A 22,735-nucleotide genomic window follows, 5' to 3' on the forward strand; every position below is an offset into this window, starting at 1 on the left:
TGCCTAGAGACCTCTAAAAGATATAAGTGAATTCGATCTTTAATCCTTGTGATTGGTTTTAGAAAGAAGTGGTGCCAGGGAAAATGTGCCAACAAAGATTCAATAGCCATTTATCATTTTAAATTTTAAATATATTATTGTAATGTCCTATCTACTTAACTGCTATGAAGATGGACACTCAGGGTCACACAGACCCTCATTTATAAGAAGAATGACACAGTTCTTATGAAGACAGAGCAGGAAGCAAGATATGAAAGCACTGGCAGGCTCTACATTAAATACATATTTCTTCTACCATCTCCCACCATATCTAAAATACCTCTATAGTCCTAACTCATTTATTTGTGTTTTAATTTCTTCTGTAGTCCTCTATTAAACTGGACTGGTACCACACAGTTTATTAATGACAATACCTGATCAGAAGGGAGCTGGTTTCTGGAACCAAGGCCCCCCAGGACAGAAGGCAGATGGAGTCAAGAAGGGATGAAAGTACCTGGTACTAAACAAGATGCTCAGCTTAGGGCGTCCATGACCCTTCTTAGCATTTTAAGCAACACCCATCATTTGCACCTTTGTGTCTCTCAACAGAGAATTTTACCCCAGAAGTCATAAAATCTTGAAAAACAATCACGACTAGTGCTTGTTTCTGCTCTAGTACTATTTTAAGACACATCTGTGTTCATTTGGCTTTTTGATGCTGTGACTTTTATTCTAATACACACATTGATTTGATTAAACCAAGTTCAGGGATAAGGCAAATATACATTCTTGTTCCCGAAAACATCCCAGGCAGTTTCAGCGTCTTTCAGCACAGATGAGGTAGGGTTGGGGCTGCAATGTCATGCCTAACCTGGGCTTCAGATCTGGAACTAGTTCATGTGGAAAATGCAAATGAAACCTCTGAAGCAATGCTGTAAAAAACAAGAACATTTCCATCCGAGCCAAGTGTTCTCCAAGACAATGTCTTCTTCCTAAACAGAAAAAGCAGATACAATAATTTTTTAAACCCACAATCTTTACCAAAATTAATGTCTAATATTTGGATGTCATTCAGGAAATCTGGAATTTAAACAAAGAAAGAGGGAACTATGTTTATTAAAGGATTTTCTTAAATCTCAAAGAATAGAAATTGACACTTCAGCAAGCAGAACCCATTCATTTACCTCCTTTTGTTAGACCACGGACTTTTGTAAGACTTTAGTTCCATCTCCCACTTCCCTCCTATGCTGCAACAGAGCCTAAGATATGCCACAAAAGATCTAATTTGAGGTGAGACATTTTGCTCAAGAACAGTCCACTTCATTTCAACTAAGTGTGTATTCTTCTCCAGTGAAGGGGAAGAGTTTCTAGTCCATCTTCCATGGGTCTTGTGTACCTTTTCACAGAAGAAGCAATATTTTCCTAATTGAAGATGAAGTACAATAACCAGAAGCCAAGAGAGTGAGATTCTAGTTTTACTTAAGTGACTATATCTTTTCCCTCTCTGGGTCTCAGTTTCTCAAGCTACCTGTTACTGAATTCTCATTCCACAAGTTTTGAAAAACAGATTTAGAAGAAGCCAGGGGTTCTCAAAAGTTCATCTATAGTTAATAAATTAAGGCTTATATTAAGCCGAAACAGATGTTAATTACTTCCAATTTAATCATTCTCTCCTGTTAGAATCAGTTCTGTGTTTTTAGAATTGGGATATTTAATTCTATAGAAGGATGCTTCAGATTAAGATGCTGTATCTAATGAATTATCATTATCCTTTATTCTAAAGTTACGCCCCGTGAAAGTTCTCTTACCTAGGGAAAAAGGAACCAAAGCTTCCTTCTTGGCAAAATATCCACTGCTGTCCAGAAATCGCTCAGGATGGAACACTTCTGGGTCTCTCCAGTACTTTTCATCAAAGTGTACAGAATAAAGATTTGTAATTACTGTTGTGCCTTTAGGAATGGAATAACCACGTACAACTGCATCTTCAGAGGTTGCATGGAAAATCCCTAATGGAACTATATTACAGAATCTTAAAACTTCATGCAAAACTGCCTCAGTATAAGGCATTTTGCATTTGTCGTCCCAAGAAGGCTTCCCATTAGGGCCCATAATTAAATCAATCTCTTTCTGAACTTGTCCTGTCAGAGAAAAAGTATTCAAGTTATTATGCAGTTCTTAGAATTATACCTAAAGTTATTTCCCTCTGGAATAAAATAAAGGATAACCTATAACAAGCCAATAGGATATAGATACATCCAGATTCAGATTTTTTATTATCTGGGCGTTCTATTGAAATATATGCTATATATCTTGTACTAACAGTAGCCAGTGCTCTGATAACCTATAACAAGCCAATAGGATATAGATACATCCAGATTCAGATTTTTTATTATCTGGGCGTTCTATTGAAATATATGCTATATATCTTGTTCTAACAGTAGCCAGTGCTCTGGGTAGCTCTATTGTGAAAGACATAAGTAATAAGAATAAACATTAAACATACCTAGAATTGGAGTAAGAAAAATAGTAAAGCATAAAATTAGTTTTTAAAATTCTATCAGAGTTCAGATTCCAGCTCTGCCACTTGCAGACACACAGTGTTTTTTCTCATTTATAAAATGGGCATAATAAGACCTCTTTCAGAGATTTTTTTTACATGAATTGAGATAATAGATTTGAAAACTCTTTTTTGTAACTATTAAATATTTCTATACTTGGCTGGCATCGCAGGAGTTCCTAAAGAAAATGTATTGTGCATGGCCAAGACTCAAAAACATGTATGAACCCTACATGTAAGGATAGACCCTGAGATCATCAAGAGAATCCTCACCTTGAATATTAGGATAAAGGGCCATGAAAAGAATCGCCCACCGTAGCACATTGGTTGTAGTTTCAGTTCCAGCAATGATGAGTTCACCCACTGAGAAAATTAGGTTTTCTTTGGAGAAAGTAGATGATGGGTCATTTTTACCTTGATCCATCTCATCTAAATAAGCATCAACAAAATGCTGAGGTAGCTGAGGCTTTCTGTTGACTGAAGCTTTTTCAATGAGTCTGGAGAGAAAATCATAGACTACAGCTGCATTTCTAAACAGCTGTTGATGTTTTCCAAAAGGCAGGATGCCAATCCATGGAAAGGCATTATACAAGAAGACTGAGGCACTGGCAGCTAGTTCCACATTTTCACTAAATAACTCAATCATGTGCTGAAAATCGGTGTCTTCATAAGTGAATCGTTCTCCAAAAATGATCAGATTGGTTATGTTTGAAACAGCATTCGTTATTAACTGTTTAAAGTCAAAAGGTCTACCTTTGTATGTTTCAATAGCATCATTGAAAAATTTGGTTTCTTCCAAGATTTTAGATTCAAAAGACTTTTGGCCATATCCAAAATATCGAAAACTGTTTACAGCTAATCGTCTGTGATCAACCCATCCTCGGCCATATCTGGAATTGAGTAAGCCTGAAAAAAAATATTAAAATATTGTATAATTCCTACTTCTCTGTATCTAAAAAATGAAAGGGAACAAAATTTTTTTAATGGATGGTTAGTCATCCTTCTCCAAATTGTCCTCCTATATAACTACATGGTTGGGTCCTGTTCTCAGCAACTCATTAGCCAGAGTATTATAACAGATAAAGTTTTTCTACTCCTTATCTGTGGACTGGCAGAAAAGGCCTATAATTGCACCACCACAAGAAGCTAGTCAGTCCTGTGTAATTTAACCTGGTGAAATAGGCCCAGGTGACTATATTATCCAACTTTTACTATAAGCCTAATTTACCAAAGACAAATGACCACATGTTCAATGGACAAAGTTTTATCTTAGACTAAACAAACACCTAAAAAATCATCCTTCTAGGATTAGAAATTTTCTGCTTAAAAGAGAATGGATTTTAGAAAATAAATTTCCTCCCATTAAAGGGATATGGTAGACAATCAAGTAACTATGACAGGGGTAAGGGTACTCTGAATGAGCTGTCAATATAGTCGAAATGCTGAAGTCAAAAAAAGGGCAAACATGAAGCTCAAACTTTTCTAATGCTGATATTGCCTGCCTTAAAATTTCAGAGTCTCCACAATGTATCTGCTGTTTTGATGTTGCTACTATTGAAATTTTCTCCCTTAAATTAATTCAACATCTTCAGTGCACATATTTATGTAACATGTACTTTACTCAAAATTTCACTCATTACTGGGACACGGTTGTACCTCTGATAAATTTCACATTGATAAGTGATTCCCAATGTTGGAGGTGGGGCATGGTGGGAACTGATTGGATCATAGGGGAAGATCCCTTATGAATGGTCTTACAACATCCCCTTGGTGATAAGTGAGTTCTCGCTCAGTTAATGTGAGATCTGGTTGTTTAAAAGTTAAGGACCTCTCCCTACTTGCTCTGTTGCTACCACTCTTGCCATATGACATGCTGGCTTTCCTCAATGCCTTCTGCCATGATTGTGAGCTTCAGTAGAAGCAGATGGCCTCAACAGAAGCAGATGCCAGCACCATGCTTCCTATAAAGTGTGCAGAACCATGAGCCAATTAAACCTCTTTTCTTTATAGGTTACCCAGCCTCGGGTATTTCTTTATAGCAATACAAAATGGACTAACACAACCCACAATGAAAAATGTCACATTCTCTTGTGTACATGAGGTACACACAAAATTTACATTCCAACAACTTATTGTGCAATAATTTTTGAATGTAGAACTTATTAAAAAGTTACTGTAAGGGGGTCATTAGTGCTGTGTAGCAATCTTACATTCCCATAGTCCATTCTTTTTTCTATACTCCCAGATGACTATTCATTCAACAAATATTCATTTAACATGTATTTGTGGAACACCTACTATGTTCCAGGCAATGTTCTAAGTGTCAGGAATGTATCAGGGAACAAAAGAAGCAAAGGTCCCTGCTCTCACAGAGCTTAGACACTAGTAGGAAAGACAGACAAAACAACAAATAAATTATACAGCACGTAAAAAGATATAGGGTAGTCAGCAAAATGCTCACTGAGAAGATGACATCTGAGTAAACATTCATAGGAGATGAGGAAGTGAGACAAGCAAATACCTGAGGAAAGACCACTGCAGTTAGAGGTAACAGCTAGTGCAATGGTGCCAAGATGAAACCAGCCCTAGAGAAATATGTGCACATGGGATATATACACAAGAAGGTACAGAGGAGCACTGTTTATAAAAACCCTACACTGGCCAAGCTGTGTGCCTGGGCATGACACTGGGCTCACCCAAAGGGCAACTTTTTCCCATTCACACAGTGGGCTAATAGTGGCCATGATTTTCTACTTCCAAGGTCAGTACATAGTACCTTAAAACAACACATATCAACATAGTGTTGGAAGTTCTGGCCAGGGCAATTAGGCAGGAGAAGGAAATAAAGGGTATTCAATTAGGAAAAGAGGAAGTCAAATTGTCTCTGTTTGCAGATGACATGATTGTATAACGAGAAAACCCCACTGTCTCAGCCCAAAATCTCCTTAAGCTGATAAGCAACTTCAGCAAATTCTCAGGATACAAAACCAATGTACAAAAATCACAAGCATTCTTATACACCAATAACAGACAAACACAGAGCCAAATCATGAGTGAACTCCCATTCACAATTGCTTCAAAGAGAATAAAATACCTAGGAATCCAACTTACAAGGGATGTGAAGGACCTCTTCAAGGAGAACTACAAACCACTGCTCAATGAAATAAAAGAGGAAACAAACAAATGGAAGAACATTCCATGCTCATGGGTAGGAGGAATCAATATCATGAAAATGGCCATACTGCCCAAGGTAATTTATAGATTCAATGCCATCCCCATCAAGCTACCAATGACTTTCTTCACAGAATTGGAAAAAACTACTTTAAAGTTCATATGGAACCAAAAAAGAGCCTGCATCGCCAAGTCAATCCTAAGCCAAAAGAACAAAGCTGGAGGCATCACGCTACCTGACTTCAAACTATACTACAAGGCTACACTAACCAAAACAGCATGGTACTGGTACCAAAACAGAGATATAGATCAATGGAACAGAACAGAGCCCTCAGAAATAATGCCGCATATCTACAACTATCTGATCTTTGACGAACCTGAGAAAAATAAGCAATGGGGAAAAGATTCCCTATTTAATAAATGGTGCTGGGAAAACTGGCTAGCCATATGTAGAAAGCTGAAACTGGATCCCTTCCTTACACCTTATACAAAAATTAATTCAAGATGGATTAAAGACTTAAACGTTAGACCTAAAACCATAAAAACCCTAGAAGAAAACCTAGGCATTACCATTCAGGAGATAGGCATGGGCAAGGACTTCATGTCTAAAACACCAAAAGCAATGGCAACAAAAGACAAAATTGACAAATGGGATCTAATTAAACTCAAGAGCTTCTGCACAGCAAAAGAAACTACCATCAGAGTGAACAGGCAACCTACAAAATGGGAGAAAATTTTTGCAACCTACTCATCTGACAAAGGGCTAATATCCAGAGTCTACAATGAACTCAAACAAATTTACAAGAAAAAAACAACCCCATCAACAAGTGGGCGAAGGACATGAACAGACACTTCTCAAAAGAAGACATTTATGCAGCCAAAAAACACATGAAAAAATGCTCACCATCACTGGCCATCAGAGAAATGCAAATCAAAACCATAATGAGATACCATCTCACACCAGTTAGAATGGCAATCATTAAAAAGTCAGGAAACAACAGGTGCTGGAGAGGATGTGGAGAATTAGGAATACTTTTACACTGTTGGTGGGACTGTAAACTAGTTCAACCATTGTGGAAGTCAGTGTGGCGATTCCTCAGGGATCTAGAACTAGAAATACCATTTGACCCTGCCATCCCATTACTGGGTATATACCCAAAGGACTATAAATCATGCTGCTATAAAGACACATGCACACATATGTTTATTGCGGCACTATTCACAATAGCAAAGACTTGGAACCAACCCAAAGGTCCAAAAATGATAGACTGGATGAAGAAAATGTGGCACATATACACCATGGAATACTATGCAGCCATAAAAAATAATGAGTTCATGTCCTTTGTTAGGGACATGGATGAAATTGGAAATCATCATTCTCAGTAAACTATCGCAAGAACAAAAAACCAAACACCGCATATTCTCACTCATAGGTGGGAACTGAACAATGAGAACACATGGACACAGGAAGGGGAACATCACACTCTGGGGACTGTTGTGGGGTGGGGGGAGGGGGAGGGATAGCATTAGGAGATATACCTAATGCTAAATGACGAGTTAATGGGTGCAGCATACCAGCATGGCACATGTATACATATGTAACTAACCTGCAAATTGTGCACCTGTACCCTAAAACTTAAAGTATAATAATAATTTAAAAAAATAAAAATTAAAAAAAGAAATAAAAAAACACATAATTTTCTACCTGGTTTTTAAAAATCTTAAGTTGAATGCTTTATGATAAAAACAGTCTAAACAATAAATTTACAGCTTTGAAAAATATATACTTTTCTCAAATATTACTGTGATTGCATCATCTTTCATTTTCATCATCTTTTTAAAGGTCTATTATAATTGTGGCTGCTTCTTTGGTCTAATTGTTTGTTTTTTATTTATATTACTGCTTTCAAGTATCATTATACTCTGGCCTGAGAATTCAGTCTTTTACAATTTGTGCTTTCTCTGCATTAGTTCATTTCCTTTGTGATGTAATATAGGATTTTAATTTTTGCCTTTTCAACCAATGTCTTTAGTTTTTGCCTATGTAAGCAAGATATTGTTAAATTTTTATTTGAAATTAAATGTGAAACTCAGAGAATTTAGGACACAACTTTAGTAAAAATTCTTATACTATTAACTATTAAAACCACTGTATGTGATCTGAACATTCTATTTTAGGCTGTCTGTTGCTGCTTTCTTCTTACCGATTTTGTCAACTTTCAGTCTTTCCCCCTTGTTGAATATGGAATCCCCAACACTGATCAATACTAAACCATACAGAATGCTAGTCCTTTACACAAACCATGCAACTCTATACTTACTAATCACAGTGATTAGTAGTCAAAAAAGCTGCTTCAAGTTCTGTAAGCTTATAAGTAAAATGATAGTAAAAATGTCACCAAGTACTCAAGACTAGGTTCAAAAGGGCACTTCGGATTCAAGTGGAAGTATGTGTTTATTCCTAACTTGTTTCACAAAACCTGCAGATGTTATTAGGTGTTGATTCTTTAAAACATTATTTATAATACTTATTAGAGCTGGACCACAATAGAATTAGCAATGTACTGGTCTAAAATATGCGTGTAGTACAGCCTGAAAGGTCCTCAAATACTAGGTTCTGTAAATAAATAGTTTCTTATTAATCAGTATAAAATAATCCCAACTGTATGCACTAAAACTTAAAATAAGGAATGTGATTTAAAATATCTTAGTAAATCACTAAATAGGTGCAAATAAACATACCTCCCATTTTTGTCATCTTCATGAATAAAGGAAGGCATGGTCTGTCTGCAAAAATTTCGCTTTGATGAACAAGGCATTCCTTTACTACATCATAGCCATTTAGAACCACAGTTGATATGCCTCCAAGATCTAAACTGAAGATCTTTGAGAAGAGAAGAAAAACAACATTTAAATGACAGCATGTATGGAGAAATATAACCATGGAAATCTACAAGTGGTAAGTGCGGCTCTTCCAGGATTTGTTACGTCCCTGAAAATATAGGCAGTTATTACTCAACTGACAATGTTCAGAGTGCCCTCCTTCTATAAGGCATGCAAAACTGTGTGATTTCATTATGCCATTCAGTGCCTAAAGTCACAGTCTTACCAACAGTATAATGAAAAGGGTACTGGACTCGGGAGGCCTGGGTCTAGTTTAAGGTTTGCCATTAAACAGATAAAAGACTCTGAGCAGAACACTTAACCTATCTGGGCTTCAGTATTGCCATAGAAAATATATTTGATATATATGCTCTTTTATGATTCATTTTACCTCAAAATGTTCAATGATATCTAGGAATCTCCTTCTATTTCCAAGATGAATGAGGCTAGTGAGGGAGAGGATTGTCAAATACCTGAGAGACAACTTTGAAGTATAAACATATTGTAACTAAGCCCATTTGTATTTGGCTCTCTGTATTCCACAAAGTGAATGAAGAGGGCTCTAAGGGAACCTAACCTTGGAGGAAAGGCATTTACCACATAGGTTAGGTGGCTGCCTCTCAGTTAAGGGGAAGGCAAAACAGGATCCATTCCATGCCTTGCTGGAGTTGTCTGCCCTGTGCCTCACCCCAGGTTCACTTACAATGTCACACCTCCTGTAGTCTATTCTAGTTAACCCAATATAAGAGGCCAGTCAGTGAGAGAACGATATTCCCTTATCAGTGGAATGTAAAGATTGCTTATTGCCATCCTTTCAGGATAGCATTTTACAGCCAAAATACTGAGACAAGCCTTATCCCTGTGCAAACAAGTCAAGGAGATTTAGCCATGGTACACACTACTTCAGAAGAAAACAGGAGGCTTAGCAGAGAACAAAAGTTCAGCAGAAAGTTATATCAGCAAAGGTCATGAGGACTGCCAAGTGGTAACAACTAACCAGCTGAGTAATGGGGCCACCAGAGTCTTTGGCACACGGGTGGGCTCTGCCAAGTGAGCACTAGGTATATCCAGAACCTTGGGAAAAGAACATGGACTGCCTGCCATAAGCAGTGGTATTAGTCAAAAGTGACAGTAGAAGAGTTCTAAGTAAAAGGGAATGGCTACCAGCCGAGCAAAGTGGGGACAATGCAGTAATGTAGTCCTATTAAAGGAAAGTCTCTTCGCAGAAGGGAACTTTAGCAGAGACAATAAAAAGATGCCATTCCACAAGGATAGTAAAAGAGCCATGAACTTAAAGTTGTGTCACTATGAAGGCAGAACAGAGGGCAAATGTATTTCAGGATAGAGCTTCAGGGTAGAGCTTCAAATTGTGGACACCAGGGATCATAAAAAGCAAGGAGGAGCCATGGCTTGAGAAAGTTGTTACACAATCCACCTTTACTCAAGAATCTGAAATAGTCCTCTATTTGAGGGTAGAACTGGAGAAATTTTTACTTGAACTAGTATGTATTCCTGTATACAGTTTTCAAGGACTTTTGGTAAAGGTGTGTGACTCAAATTGTGAAAACTTATCCTTAAACTGCTTTGATCTATGGAAGGGTACAAGATTAGCTTATATATTCTTTGATTTATTCAATAATTTTAGTGCCAATTATGGGCTAATTATAATGCTGGCAGAGATGTAAACAGGAATACACAAAACATTTTCCTTGCCTTCTAGATCACTCCATGATCTTCAAGTCTCTTTCCCTCACCCAAACCAGCCCTACTCATAATTTTTCACTCTCCCAGTTAATGACCACTCCATACATCCTTCAAGTGGTTGAGGCCCAGGACTTTGCAGTCACCCACACTGACTCATTATCTTCTTCCAAACTCCACATCCAACTGCTCAGCAGTTATGCTGTTTCTACCTTCAGAATATAAACAGAATCAGACAATTTATTATAACCTGCAGGTGACCGGTCTAAGTCACCTGCATTTCTCCCTTATAACAACAACCTCCTAACTGGCCTCCCTAATTTCATCCTTGTCTTTTTACAGGTAATTCTCAACGTGGCATTCTCTTGCTTTATGGCCTTTGTTCTTGCTCTTTTCTTAGTCTAGAATGTTCTTCCTTTTGATATTCCTATAGCTTGCTCCTTCATTTCCTTTGTCTTTGTTCAGATGCTATCTTTGTGGTGAGACCTGTTCTGATTAAGCAATTTAAAATCTGACCCACTAACATTCTCCATTCCCTTACCCTAATTTAGTTTACTTCCTACTCTGTACTCTTTGAATATATTATATAATTTACTTGTGTTTATATTGTCTGTCTTCCCCCAACTAGAATATAAGCTACATAAGGGCAGGAATCTGTTTTGGTCACTGCTATATCTCTAGCACCTAGGACAGTGCACAGCATATGACAATAGAAATATATGTTGAATTAATGAATAGTCATAGAGACATACATTTAAACATATTATTATAACATCATGGGCTAAATGCTAATAACAGACAAATGTGCAAAGTGCTGTTGATGAAAACCATTAAGTGACTGCCACACTTTTCAACCTTTGCTTGGTTTGTTTCCTCATTTGGAAGGCTTCCTTTGACTGCCATACTACCCTAACCATACCAAGTCTTTAGGGACCATCCTCCATGATGCCTTTCTTGGGGCACTCTTTTTCTCTCTGCTTTGAACCACACATGGGAGCTTAGAAGCTCCCATGGCACTTATTTAACACTATCTTGAACCAGAAACATTCATATTCTTGTCTTCTGCCTGCATGCTAAATTACAAACTCCTTAGGAGCAGTGATTTCATCTTTTTCATCTTTGAATCCTTACACAGAATCTCATTCAGTGCTGTGCATAAAGTTCTCAATAAATGCTGTAAAAATAAATTAATACGCTGTCAATTCTACTTGCTTTAATGGAATTATTTTATTGTCCTGAAGTCCATTACCTGAAAATAATCGATAAAGCCACTTGTATTGGCTTTCCTAGCCAGGGAATGCCTCTTGAAATCTAGACTAAGATTAAAGTTACTGCAGAAATTTAAACATTCAGAATCAATCTCCAAGGAAATGGTAATTTTCAGTGTGATACACTTCTATTTAAGATTGCCTTTAAAATGAATATATAAGTCCTGAGGACTGGCTGTTTAACTTTCAAGAATCACAAAGCAGAATTGAATTCACAGACTAACACAAAGGCGGGTGTCACTTGAAGTGACTGTCCTAAGCAATTTTAAAGTCCAGTTGTTTTTTTTTTTTTTTCTGTGAGCATACATCTCAAATTTAAAAGACAGTGGAAAACTAAGATTTTATTTAAGTCCTAGGTACAACTTTCCAGAACTTTTTGGAAGCACAGGAGGGAACAATATTCTTCAACCTCCAAAAAAAGGTATAGTATTTTAACAATTTATGCCAACTTTGAGACTTTGTCAGAATTGGAAAATATCTCTAAGATAATGGGAGATCTTTAGAGATGTTTCATACCAGGATAAAGATCAAATGCCGCTGTAGCCTAGAGTTAATATGTTTGGTGGTTATCAACTAGATCTAAGGCATAGTGAGGCAAACAATGTCTACTCTTTGATGCATACATTCTTTTTCATTTTTGCTCCTTTCAGTTTTTCCTCTGCCCCATTGCAGCTAGTAACAGTTTGGCCCTATTTCATTTGTAGTCAAGAGCTCTCTCTGTAAAGAACCATGGTTCCCTCAAACAGTGGTACCAGCAATAAAACTATGATAGGGGACTTAGAAAACCCCCTGCCCAAAAGAAATATTCATAGTAATACCGAGTGTCTTTCAGTTCAAATATTTATATAAGAAAAGCTTAATTCCTTTTTCTGTGAGAAACCATTTCAAATAACTTGTTTAAAAATACTTTCAAATTTGGAGGTCGAACAAATGTGTTCTGTGTATAGAAACTAATAACATAGGCCGGGCGCAGTGGCTCACACCTGTAATCCCAGCACTTTGGGAGGCCGAGGCGGGCAGATCACGAGGTCAGGAGATCGAGACCATCCTGCCTAACCGAGTGAATGCCCATCTCTACTAAAAATTACAAAAAATTAGCCGGGCGTGGTGGCGAGCACCTGTGGTCCCAGCTACTCGGGAGGCTGAGGCAGGAGAATGGCGTGAACTCGGGAGGCGGAGCTTTCAGTGAGCCGAGATGGCGTCACTGCACTCCAGCCTGGGTGACAGAGCAAGACTCGTCTCAAATAAAAAAAGAAAGAAACTAATAACATACACAATAACCAAGAACACTTGAGTAGCACTTTTCTGTTTTCTGTTGTTATTCTCACTACCGAGAAAAAAAAAAGACTCAGAATAGAGGTCAAGTTTTGTCTGGCAGAAGACCTGACCTCTAGTCTTATGCTTTCACATTTTATTTCTCTAGAATATTATGATGCTGTGTACCAAGATACCAAAGAGATGAAATATATTACATGAAAATCATGGGAATAAACTCAATTCTGGGAGAATTGCAGGTTGGAAAATAAGATCTAAGAATTATACATACCTTTATTATCTCGTCCAGCTTCCCTTTAACAACGTAAACTATTCGTGAACCATGAAAGGAACGTAAACCATTAGTGACTTTCTATTCTAGAAACCTAGACCAATTCTTTTTTTTTTTTTTTTTTTTTTTTTTTGAGACGGAGTCTGGCTCTGTTGCCCAGGCTGGAGTGCAGTGGCGCGATCTCGGCTCACTGAAAGCTCCGCCTCCCGGGTTCACGCCATTCTCCTGCCTCAGCCTCCCGAATAGCTGGGACTACAGGTGCCCGCCACCACGCCCGGCTAATTTTTTGTATTCTTTTAGTAGAGATGGGGTTTCACCGTGTTAGCCACGACGGTCTCGATCTCCTGATTTCGTGATCCGCCCGCCTCGGCCTCCTAAAGTGCTGGGATTATAGGCGTGAGCCACCGCGCCCGGGCACCTAGACCAATCCTTGTAAAAATTGGTTTAAGTAAGGATTTAAGGTCAAACCTGAAATACCACAGTTGCCAAACATCCCTGTACTTTTCCTTCAAAACACTGACCACAGCCTGTGGCCGATAATGAGATTAGTTTTCTCTCTCCCACTCATCTGCCAACTCCTTAAAAGGCTGTATCTGCCTTCTTCACCGCTAGCGTCAGGCCTGTAGTTGCATATAAATAAGTGTAATTCAAAACAAAACAGGTGAGCTCTGTCCCAGGACCCGTGGAAACTCCTGCCCCCTCCGGACGTCGGGACACCCACACACAAGCGGTGGTCGCCTTTTCCGCTGCCAGTCACAGGGCATTTCCGTGCTGCTTTCCCCTCCGCAGAATGAGGAGGAGCGAAGTACCGACCTCACCGGCTGGTTATGAGTTTTAAATGAGTCACCAAGTTGGCAGTGACAGTGGCACACAGAAGGCGCCTTTTAAGTATCTGCTAAGGTGCCGTTCCCAGCCAGTCAGAACGGCATTACCATCTGCGCTGTAGGACCCCCGCAGCGGATTTTAGTCATCAATTCATTCACGCGTTCACAATCGTTTCCCAGGGCCCGCTTCTCAGTCAGGGGCGTTCCCCTGCATTCTCCATTCTCACAGCAAACGCCTACACCAGTCGTTCGTCGACTGCAGACACCGAAGAACCTGCTATTAACCATCTAGAACTCAGAACGCCTTGATTTTCCGACAAGCCGCGTGCAGCTTCCACAGAGCTGCGAGGCCGACTCGCAAGACGCCCGCACCTGAGGGCATGCGTCCACCCTGGACCTGAAGTGGCGGCGCGGCTGGCGAGCCAAACGGCGCAGGCGCAGGAGCAAGAGCTCGAGCGGTAGCGGGAAAATCAGGACTGGATCGCCTCGGAGCCTCGGCCCGGAGTGGGTCACCGGCAGGGGCGGGGCTCCCCCTGCAAGGGGGCACGGCGTCGAGGACTTCTCCCTTCCAGACCCGGGAAGCGGGTGTCCCTCAAAGGGCAGCCGGCACACGGAGAGGTCCCGACTAGTCGGCCCAGGGGCGGCCATAAGTCCAACCAGGAAGGCCCTGGCCAGCCCGGGCCAGCCTGGCGGCCCTCCCTGCCCGGGGCCCGTCGGGGCTGTACCTCTCCGTACACCTGGCTCTGCTTTCTCATGTAGACATGGGGAAGCTCGGATGAGGCTGCCAGGGAATAGATGTTGCCGATAAATGGCAGCCCCGGCGGCCCCGGGGGGAAGCCCATCGGCCGCCTCTGCTTCAGCAGCTGGCGGACCCCTAGCGCGAAGAGCAGCAGGAAGAGCGCGCCGCCGAGCGCCGCCGCGCCCTCTTCAGCTCTCCAAAGCTTCCACATCGGCCCGAGCTGGAGGTGCGAACTCCACAGCAGCCCTGAGACCCAGGCACTCCCTCCAGCCCTGCCATACTCCCATTGGCAGGATACCCTCAGGTCCCGCCCTAGCTCCGTGGCCATTGGCTGACTGAGTGAGCGCTCAGGCCCCTTCGGGACAACTACCTTCTAGTTTTGCGCGGCTGAGAGTGGACTTTGCGGAGCGGGTGGCCGGTGCTACCCTTTGGAGGTGGCGCGGCTCTAGGCGGAGCAATGAGCCAGGAGTCCGTTTTCTAGAATGTTGACACAAGGGCATTGACGAGGTGTCAGGACGGCCTCACTCACTGGGCTAGGCGGATCCTGCCTCTCTGGGGCCAGACCTTTCTTAAAGTGTCTTTTTAAGTACCAGGTCTGCTTATTTCATTTCACACTAGGAAAACTGGAGAGATGATCAACACTGCAGTCTTTAGCTGAACCTGATACTTTTCAGAATTTCCAGTAGAAAATTGACCCATCAGTAGTAAAAGAAAGTAATTTTACTGTTTTGTCCTGTTTTACTATTTTTCTCCTGTTAATGTATTTTTGTGTGTGATCTTTTAATAATTGTGATGATTGAGCAGTTTATGTGATTAACTCAGTTTACCTATATTTGACCCCTCTCTGGTCTTTCCAAACTGATTACTTATTGGCAATCACGGGACTCTTGTCTGCACTTGTTCACGGAGAGTATTTACTATTCAAGATTTCTGCCTCCACTGCCTGGAATTAAGCAACTGATTTCATATTATTCTTGCTAATTGTTTTTATTCCTGTTTTCTATTGGGCAGTTCCTTGCAATACAGGACTTACTGGGTTTGGGACTCTTCTAACAGCTGCCCTCTAATTGTGATTTAGCAGTGGCATGAGTTTTATGGTCCTCATTAGCTTACGACTCATTCACACAACAAATATTTATTGAATGTCTACTATGTTCCCATGTCCTAAGCAATGGAGATACATAGGTGAATAAGAGCAACAAAGTCCTTTCTATAACTTACATTCTTATGAGAGGGAAGAGCAATGACATGGAAATACAATAATTTTCAATAATCAGAAGCAAACAAAAAGTGCGTTATAGAAAACGCCTGGTGGTTGGGGAGATACTTTAGCAGGCAAGGGCTGTCAAGGAAAGTCTTATTAGGAAGATGACATTGGAGCTGAGATCAACTGCTAAAGAAGTGTATTTGTTTCCTACTACTGTTGTAATAAATTACCACCAATCTGATGGCTTAAAACCACACAAATTTATTTTCTTACAATTCTTGAGGTGAGAAGTCCAAAATGAGTCTTCCAGGGCTGACAGAGAGGTGTTAGTGGGGCTTCATTCTTTCTAGAGACTGTAGGAGAGATTCTATTTCCTTGTCTTTTTCAGCTTCTAGAGGCTGCCCACATTCCTTGGCTTTCGTCCCCATTCCTTCCTCTTCAAGGCCATTAATGTCAGTTTGAATCCTTCCAACATCGCTGTCTCTCTGATTATCTCTCTTCTACTTCCTTCTTCCACTTATAAGGATCGTTGTGATTATATTGGGCCCACCTGGATAATCCCAACTCAAAGATCAGCTGATTAGCCCTTTAATTCCATCTGCAACCTTAATTCTTCTTGCCATGAAACCTAACATATTCACAGTTCTAGGGATTAGTATGTGGACCTATTGGGGGAGGGGAGCATTATTCTGCCTACTATAGAAGAGAAATTTGAGGCAGATATGGGGGAAAATATTCCAAACAGAGGAAATATCAAGGGCAAAGGCTTCATATACTAAGCAAACCTTGTCCTCTGAGAGTGTTTCCAATTTCTCTCCATCTCCCACGCAAGGACACTGCGGAAGTCAGCAAGTTAGTCAGGTCTTTGAGTTTTTCTGTTTAACTGGCTTGTGACTATCCCCAGGGGCTGAAGTTACCCCCACAGGTATGTGTCACAGTATCTGCAGCCACAGAATATCTACCTACTGCCTATTACAAATGCCTATTAAGAGATACCTTAAAATTCTTATTAATCAATAATCTAATAAAATGAAAAAATAATTGTGAGAGATCATTACTAAATTTGGTCTCTAGTTTCTTACCAAAGGCCAGTGGAGATGACACAGGATGGATATTGGGACTGTGGGTGGGAGGCAATGCTGCTGAGGCACCAGGAGCTGAGGAATATCACCTATGGGATGCCTGAGATCAACCCTGCCTTTGCAACACCAGGAGGCTTACAGTTTTTGGTCTGGCCACAGCTGTTATACAGTACAGGTACTTGGTTCAGGAGTGGGCCCCCTGCCATCATTTATTTTCAGAAAGGATTAATTTTCATTACAAAAATATCCTCCAATTCACTTAAATTAAGGAGCATTCCTTCTTTGGCATTCTTTCCCTGGCTACATAGCAGAGGAGAGCTGAGTTACCCCGAGGCAGCCATTTCTGACTGACAGCACTGATGAAATGTTCCCCACCCCACCCCACCACAGCTCCCCTTGAGAGATAATAGGTGGGGTATTCTCAGGAATAACTATAAGTCTTTCAGGACATAGAGCCTTCCCTGTAACAGTTTATCATGTTCCCTCAGCTCAATAAGGAGAAATCCCTCCCTTATTCCCCCTTCTTGCATTTGCTCTTTGAGTGATAGAAAACAATCAATAATGTTTGTCTATGGCTTTTATCATGACAGGAAGGTTTAGGGCAGCAGGAAGTTAAGTATTTCACTGTTTCATGGCTGAGATCTCATCTTCAGTACTCGGGGTGGAATGGGTGAACACACTGTATAGGGCTTTGCCATTTCTATGTGCAGAACAGTAATGGTTCTAACAGAGAACAGCAATGCTGTGCCAGAATCAGAGCCTCTTTCTGGGCCTTTGGGAACTGAACCCAAGCTCCAGGGCTCATCCTGAGGGGCAGTATCAAGTGAGATTCTCCTGGGGTCCCTTTCTGTTCTTGAATGGCTGCAGCCCTGGCCTGGGCCGTGGGAGTTGTCCCAGAGAGCTCCCCACACAGAGTGATGCAATCAGCGCAAATGTGCCTCCTTTGCATGTTCCATTATGTGCATTCTCAGTGTGTTTCATCAGAATTGAAGGAAGTGAGAGCCAAAGGAAGTGCCAAGCTGAGCCATACTGGAGGCTGAGCTAAAAGAAAAAAGTCAATAATAGTGATCCTGCCTTATTAAAAATTTGATGTCTTGTTCGTAATGGGTTTTTGCCTCAATTTTGATTTTAAACTGTTGCATTAAAGTGTTATCTTGCTTTTGATCTTCTTGGAGCCCTCTTAAATTCTGTTCCCAAGGTGAATTTCTCACTTGCCTTATCCTAGTCCTCATGCTGGGAGGTAGGGTACCCAAATGAAGACTTTGATTACAAAATGATGTGTAGAAACTGAATTCGTGCACTTGGATTTTCATTGTGCTCTTAGGAGCCAGGCACTGAGGTGGGGCTGGCAGACCAGTAGCACTTCTGGGTGAGATTAGGAACCTTATGAAAGTCTCCCTGTGACCACTTTAAAAAGTCCTCCTCACCCCACTGCCTGAAGTTCAGTCTTTACAAATTAAATGATACTAATTGAACATTCCCTATAACAGGCTAAGTTGGAAAATGCAAAACCTGGTGGCAGGAGAGTACAGCAATAGGAAGTTCTAAAAACGCTTATACATGAATGAATTTAATCCCACATTTACAGGCAAGGCCGAATGAGGGACATGATGACATGGATTTATTGGAGGTGGTGGCATGGTGATGATGATGATGGTGGTGGGTGTGGGGGTTTCAGAAGAGGATGCAGAAGGGGAAAGGAAGTTTTACAGAGAAACTTCTTTCCCTTCACAATTTTTCCAAAGGCTAGATCAACTTAGAGAAATCACATTTCTCAGAAGCAGGAGTTATTCCTGCCATTTCCTAGGGATACTCAGCCAACCAATCCTTGCCACTTCCTCCCATCCAGCTACCCACTGGGCCATCTTCTGTCATGATATCTTGTATTCCTTTCCTTGTGTTTCAAAAAAATAGAAATGCATGAACACTTCATGATCTTGTTGAAGACCCTCTTCCAAATGCAGTAACAGAGAGTCAGAGGAAGTTTAGTGTTCTATCCAAGTCACACAAGATAGCACCAGTAGAACCAGAATTCTGGGCTCTGGACTTGCCATGTGTTCTTTCAGTCATTCACCACAAATGTATTGGGCACCTACTAGATTAGATGCTGGGAATATAATGGTGAGCAAAATCAGCCATGGTCCCTGTGTTCCTGGGGTTTACATTCTATTGGGGGATGCCAACACCAGTCAAATAATCACAAGTAAATTTATTATTTATATTTTCAAACATTACTATGTTTTCAAGATGCCAAACATTTTTGTTTTCTGAAGTAAAGAAACAGTTCTACAAGTGTGCATAACATAGGAAATGTGATCAGTCTTGGAGGTCAGTAATTGTAGTCTGCACCAAACAACCAGCTTATATCCAGGGACTCCCCCATGATCGTGTTCATGGAAGATGTTACTACAATTCTTCCCTATCAACTGGTCTCATATGGACACTGAGTGAAGGGAAAGGAAAGTAACAAAATCCTCTATTTAAAATTCGTGAATATCACTCAGAGAGACATTTAAGTCTTAATTTAAAGCCTTCTTCTGCTTTGCAAATGATTTTCATAAACATTCTTATATTGTGCTTCTGAAAATAGTAGATTTGAAGAAGCAAACTAACAGTAGATTGAATTGTTGTTAGAGATAGCCACAGCAACAATTCTGGAGACATCTGACAATCTGATAATGAAAAAGGAAACAATAATTATCAAATATAGATGTAACAAACTAAAAAGCACAGGAGTCTGAGATCATTTAGGGTAGAGAATATCAGTGCCACACATCTCAAAGTCTGAGAGCATCATGTGTATGACAACAGAACACATTAATTCATGTTCTCATTAAATGAACATCCTTATCAAAGATTAAAATTATTTAAGAACATTCTAATTTAAGAGTGCAGAGGAAGTGTATATGTATTTTTGAAAGATTTGGCTACATTTCAAAAACAGAAAAAAAATTCCTAGAACTTGAATAATTTAACTTTGATTATTTAGAAAATGTTCTTTGGGAGCCCTAATACCCTGATGATGATGAAGGAGGCCTCCTAGCCCTGGCTTGAAGGTTTAGTGGGGTTGCCTCTGGCCCCTCTCTCCCTGGTTTTACAGGTCAATGCCCTCAGAGGAAACAAGAAGAGAGTGATCTGGTCTTTGTGTCTGAACCCCAAACAATTTTTAATCATTATGGAATATAAGTTGAGAAATTCTTTAGTGTCATTTGTGGAGGTTGTCCACCTCTCAGAGTGAACAACCTGGGCCTGTATCTGGGTACTGTATCTTGGGTCATCACACTCAGATCATGTTCTTCAACAACTTTGAAAATTATCTTCTGGTCTTCAGAAGGGACATTTGCAGATGGTTGGTGGTACAGAGGTTTATTTCTCTGGGGTTTTAGAGACTGGCATTTTAAGCATCAGAGAGAAAACAGAGCATTTTCTGGGCCTGCAGGAGATGGTCAGTCAGACTTTTCACAGGAATACCCGGCTTTCTAATTTCTGTCCATCCTCAAACCCACCCTCCTCAGGCCTGCTCCAGACCGCCTCTGTTGCAGAGCCTTATCCAAATGCTCTGGGCCATAATGCATCTCTACCTGTGAGCCCCTCCAGTTTATGCTTCTTATCACCTAGCTCAGCATTCACCTTGCAGGGCTTTCTCTTTTTCATCTATCATTTAACGAGAAAGGCTCTAGACTTCTGGAGAATAGGATCCCTGTATTACTCTTTTCCTGAACCTTAATACCCTCATATGTGGTTAGACACATCATGGAACCTGAACCCATCCTGGATGATTGGCTGGGTCTACCTGGGATAGTCTCTCCCATCAAGACTCCTCCTTAGAGGGCCCTCTGGGGAGGATATTTCAAGCCAGTTTGTAGGCTCCAGCAGAAGATGTGTTTTGCCTCTCGGTGGATTCATCGGACAACCACACTGGGAAGCTTTTGTCTACGGAAACACATGGTGTTATCCACAGAGAACTTGTTCACAGAGAAGCAAGGGCCCAGACACAATGCAAACCTGTTTTAAAGAAGAAGGAATAATCCCTACTGGTCTGAAGGGCATAGTGCTCCTCACCTCCTTTTCCTGTCTCTTCTGGGAATTGTACACTTCTGCTGTCCAGGGGATGGGGCAGTAATTTTCCTGATTATGCCTCACACCACAATGACACATCCTTGTACCTCTTAGCTATACTTCTGGAAGTCATAGCGTGACCTGATATAGAAAAGTAGTGTAGAGTTCACATGGCACAACATTTACAGCAACTTTATAGAATTTCAAAATTGGAAGAAATTTTGATTTCCAAAAGCTATATTTTACATACGGATGTGGAAGTTGAGGTCCTGAGAGGACAAATGACTCACTCAAGGTTACACATTGAGCTGGTGGCGAAAAAAACAGCACAGTGTACTGACTCCTGGGGCTATGCTCTTTCTTTTTTTCTCTTTTTCTTTTCTTTTCTTTTTTTAAGGCTGTCTCAACTGTGTGAGAGTGAGTATAAACTTATTCAGATTGGATATCTAATACCATTCAACCTGAAATCAAGTTGCTTGCTTCTTTTTTTTTTAATCCACGTAACTGAAAGCCACCCTACTAAACACTATAACTTAGCCTTCACTAGCTTCATTTTAAATAATACCCCGACATATATGTCTTTGTGGTAATGATTGCTTAAGATGTCTTTCAGGAACTTGCAGCAGCCCCTGTCCAGTTCAAGCCAGTTGAGACCCTCTGGCTGAGCCTGCACAGATGTCTGAAAAGTGACCTTTTGATGTCAGAGGGCCCAAAACTCCAGCCTCAGATCATGCTAATGCTGCCATTTTCTGAACATGTGACCTGTGAAGAGCCATGAACCCTGACTATGCTTAGTGCTGGATCAATGATTACCTCATTTTTTCGCACTGCCAATTACCTTTCCACATGCTTTTTATCACCCTGCTTCTTTATTGAATAAATATTCCTAAGTCTTATCTTCAGGAAGTTGGATTTGAGAGCTGTTCTACTGTCTCCTTCCCTGGCTGTCCTGTGAATAAATTTTTTCTCTACTGCAAAACTTGTCATTTCAGTAATTGGTTGTCTGCATGACAGGCAGAATGAACCTGGTTTGGGATCAAATCTAAGTAAATTTGCAGATGTTTGAGTTCCAATTTAAGCAAAACAGGTTGATTTATTTAAGCAGATTTGTCAACACAATAAAATGAGTAGAGAAATTTTCTGCTGTTGTAAGTATATCTTTTACTTTAATGAATTTAGTTATTTAAAAATTTCTATGATTTACTCTGAAATAAGTGGGGAAATACATATTTTTCTCCTGCAAAACTGGAAGTTTCCCACACAGTATCTTTGGATAATTTATATACTGTCATGATGTCTTTCATACAAATCAGTCTGGTCCAAGCAGAAAGACCTGGCTATATTTTCTCTTGAGTACATTCATTGCCCTAGGGAACCAGGTGTCTTAGCAAATATGGCAGGAATATGAGAAGTCTGTGGGCTAATATATTTTAGTTAAAAGTCTATGGTGAATATTATTACTGAATTCAAGTTTAACAATTAATAAAACATAAATATCTAATGTTTTGTTTCCAGTTTTAGTTTGGGTACTTTTCATTATACTTATGTGTTGATATCTTTAGAACACAATCTTACAATTAGGTTTATAGTCAAACTAAAATCTCCCTGGGTTTGCTTGTGGTAAGGCTACATAAACAGTGGTATAATAAACATCCCTTTCATACAGTATTCTCTGTGTCTGAAATAATTTCCTTGGTGTAGTTTTCCAAATTCAGAATT

The 22,735-nt window shown here is 40.2% G+C and overlaps 2 protein-coding genes across 40 annotated transcripts in view, besides 1 other annotated feature; one reads left to right on the plus strand and one right to left on the minus strand.

Moving 5' to 3' along the window:
* Window positions 1-21,995, plus strand: part of PDE3B (phosphodiesterase 3B) — a 255,518-nt gene extending 233,523 nt beyond the window's left edge. The window contains exons 15-17 of one of the 6 annotated variants that reach the window (NR_190763.1): window positions 8,480-8,666; window positions 11,910-11,980; window positions 21,630-21,995. Coding sequence is in view for 2 of the 6 variants with exons in the window: in NM_001429699.1 (NP_001416628.1) it covers window positions 21,630-21,794 (165 nt within the window). In the remaining 4 variants the exon portion in view is untranslated. Of the gene's footprint in view, window positions 1-8,479; window positions 8,667-10,633; window positions 11,499-11,909; window positions 11,981-21,618 lie in introns of those variants that run through there. The other 5 variants (NR_190764.1, NR_190766.1, NR_190765.1 and 2 more) reach the window with 5 other exon arrangements.
* On the minus strand, window positions 114-15,117 carry CYP2R1 (cytochrome P450 family 2 subfamily R member 1). 34 transcript variants are annotated; one of them, NM_001400560.1, is made up of 7 exons: window positions 13,423-14,345; window positions 13,106-13,143; window positions 10,304-10,503; window positions 8,450-8,591; window positions 2,810-3,442; window positions 1,788-2,117; window positions 114-971 (listed from the first exon to the last, which is right to left on the minus strand). In NM_001400560.1, exons 4-7 carry the CDS (start codon window positions 8,469-8,471, stop codon window positions 796-798), a joined length of 1,161 nt encoding a protein of 386 aa, NP_001387489.1. In that variant the 5' UTR covers window positions 8,472-8,591; window positions 10,304-10,503; window positions 13,106-13,143; window positions 13,423-14,345; the 3' UTR covers window positions 114-795. The 34 variants fall into 34 exon arrangements, 22 of the variants coding, with proteins under 22 accessions (NP_001387489.1, NP_001387488.1, NP_001387496.1 ...); NR_174521.1 differs by lacking the exon at window positions 10,304-10,503 and having other exon boundaries at window positions 1,788-1,881; window positions 13,574-14,345; NR_174514.1 differs by lacking the exon at window positions 10,304-10,503 and having other exon boundaries at window positions 1,788-1,881; window positions 2,810-3,033.
* Window positions 14,413-14,652: a silencer, noted in NCBI's record as "silent region_3174". NCBI's record gives its function as "represses an Ori minimal core promoter by ATAC-STARR-seq in GM12878 lymphoblastoid cells {active_cell/tissue: GM12878}" and the evidence as "EXISTENCE:reporter gene assay evidence [ECO:0000049][PMID:35858748]".
* Window positions 21,996-22,735: the final 740 nt, after the last annotated feature.

This window comes from Homo sapiens, chromosome 11 (genome assembly GCF_000001405.40).
Source record: "Homo sapiens chromosome 11, GRCh38.p14 Primary Assembly".
Classification (NCBI taxonomy): domain Eukaryota; kingdom Metazoa; phylum Chordata; class Mammalia; order Primates; family Hominidae; genus Homo; species Homo sapiens.

Excerpts from the sequence above, each read along its gene's own strand:
- CYP2R1 (NM_024514.5), bottom strand. The coding sequence starts at position 14,879 with ATGTGGAAGCTTTGGAGAGCTGAAGAGGGCGCGGCGGCGCTCGGCGGC. Across the intron at positions 8,592-14,654 it reads AGAGCCAGGTGTACGGAGAG|ATCTTCAGTTTAGATCTTGG; the intron begins GTACAGCCCCGA and ends CTCTTCTCAAAG. Across the intron at positions 3,443-8,449 it reads GAAGATGACAAAAATGGGAG|GCTTACTCAATTCCAGATAT; the intron begins GTATGTTTATTT and ends ATTTTTTTTCAG.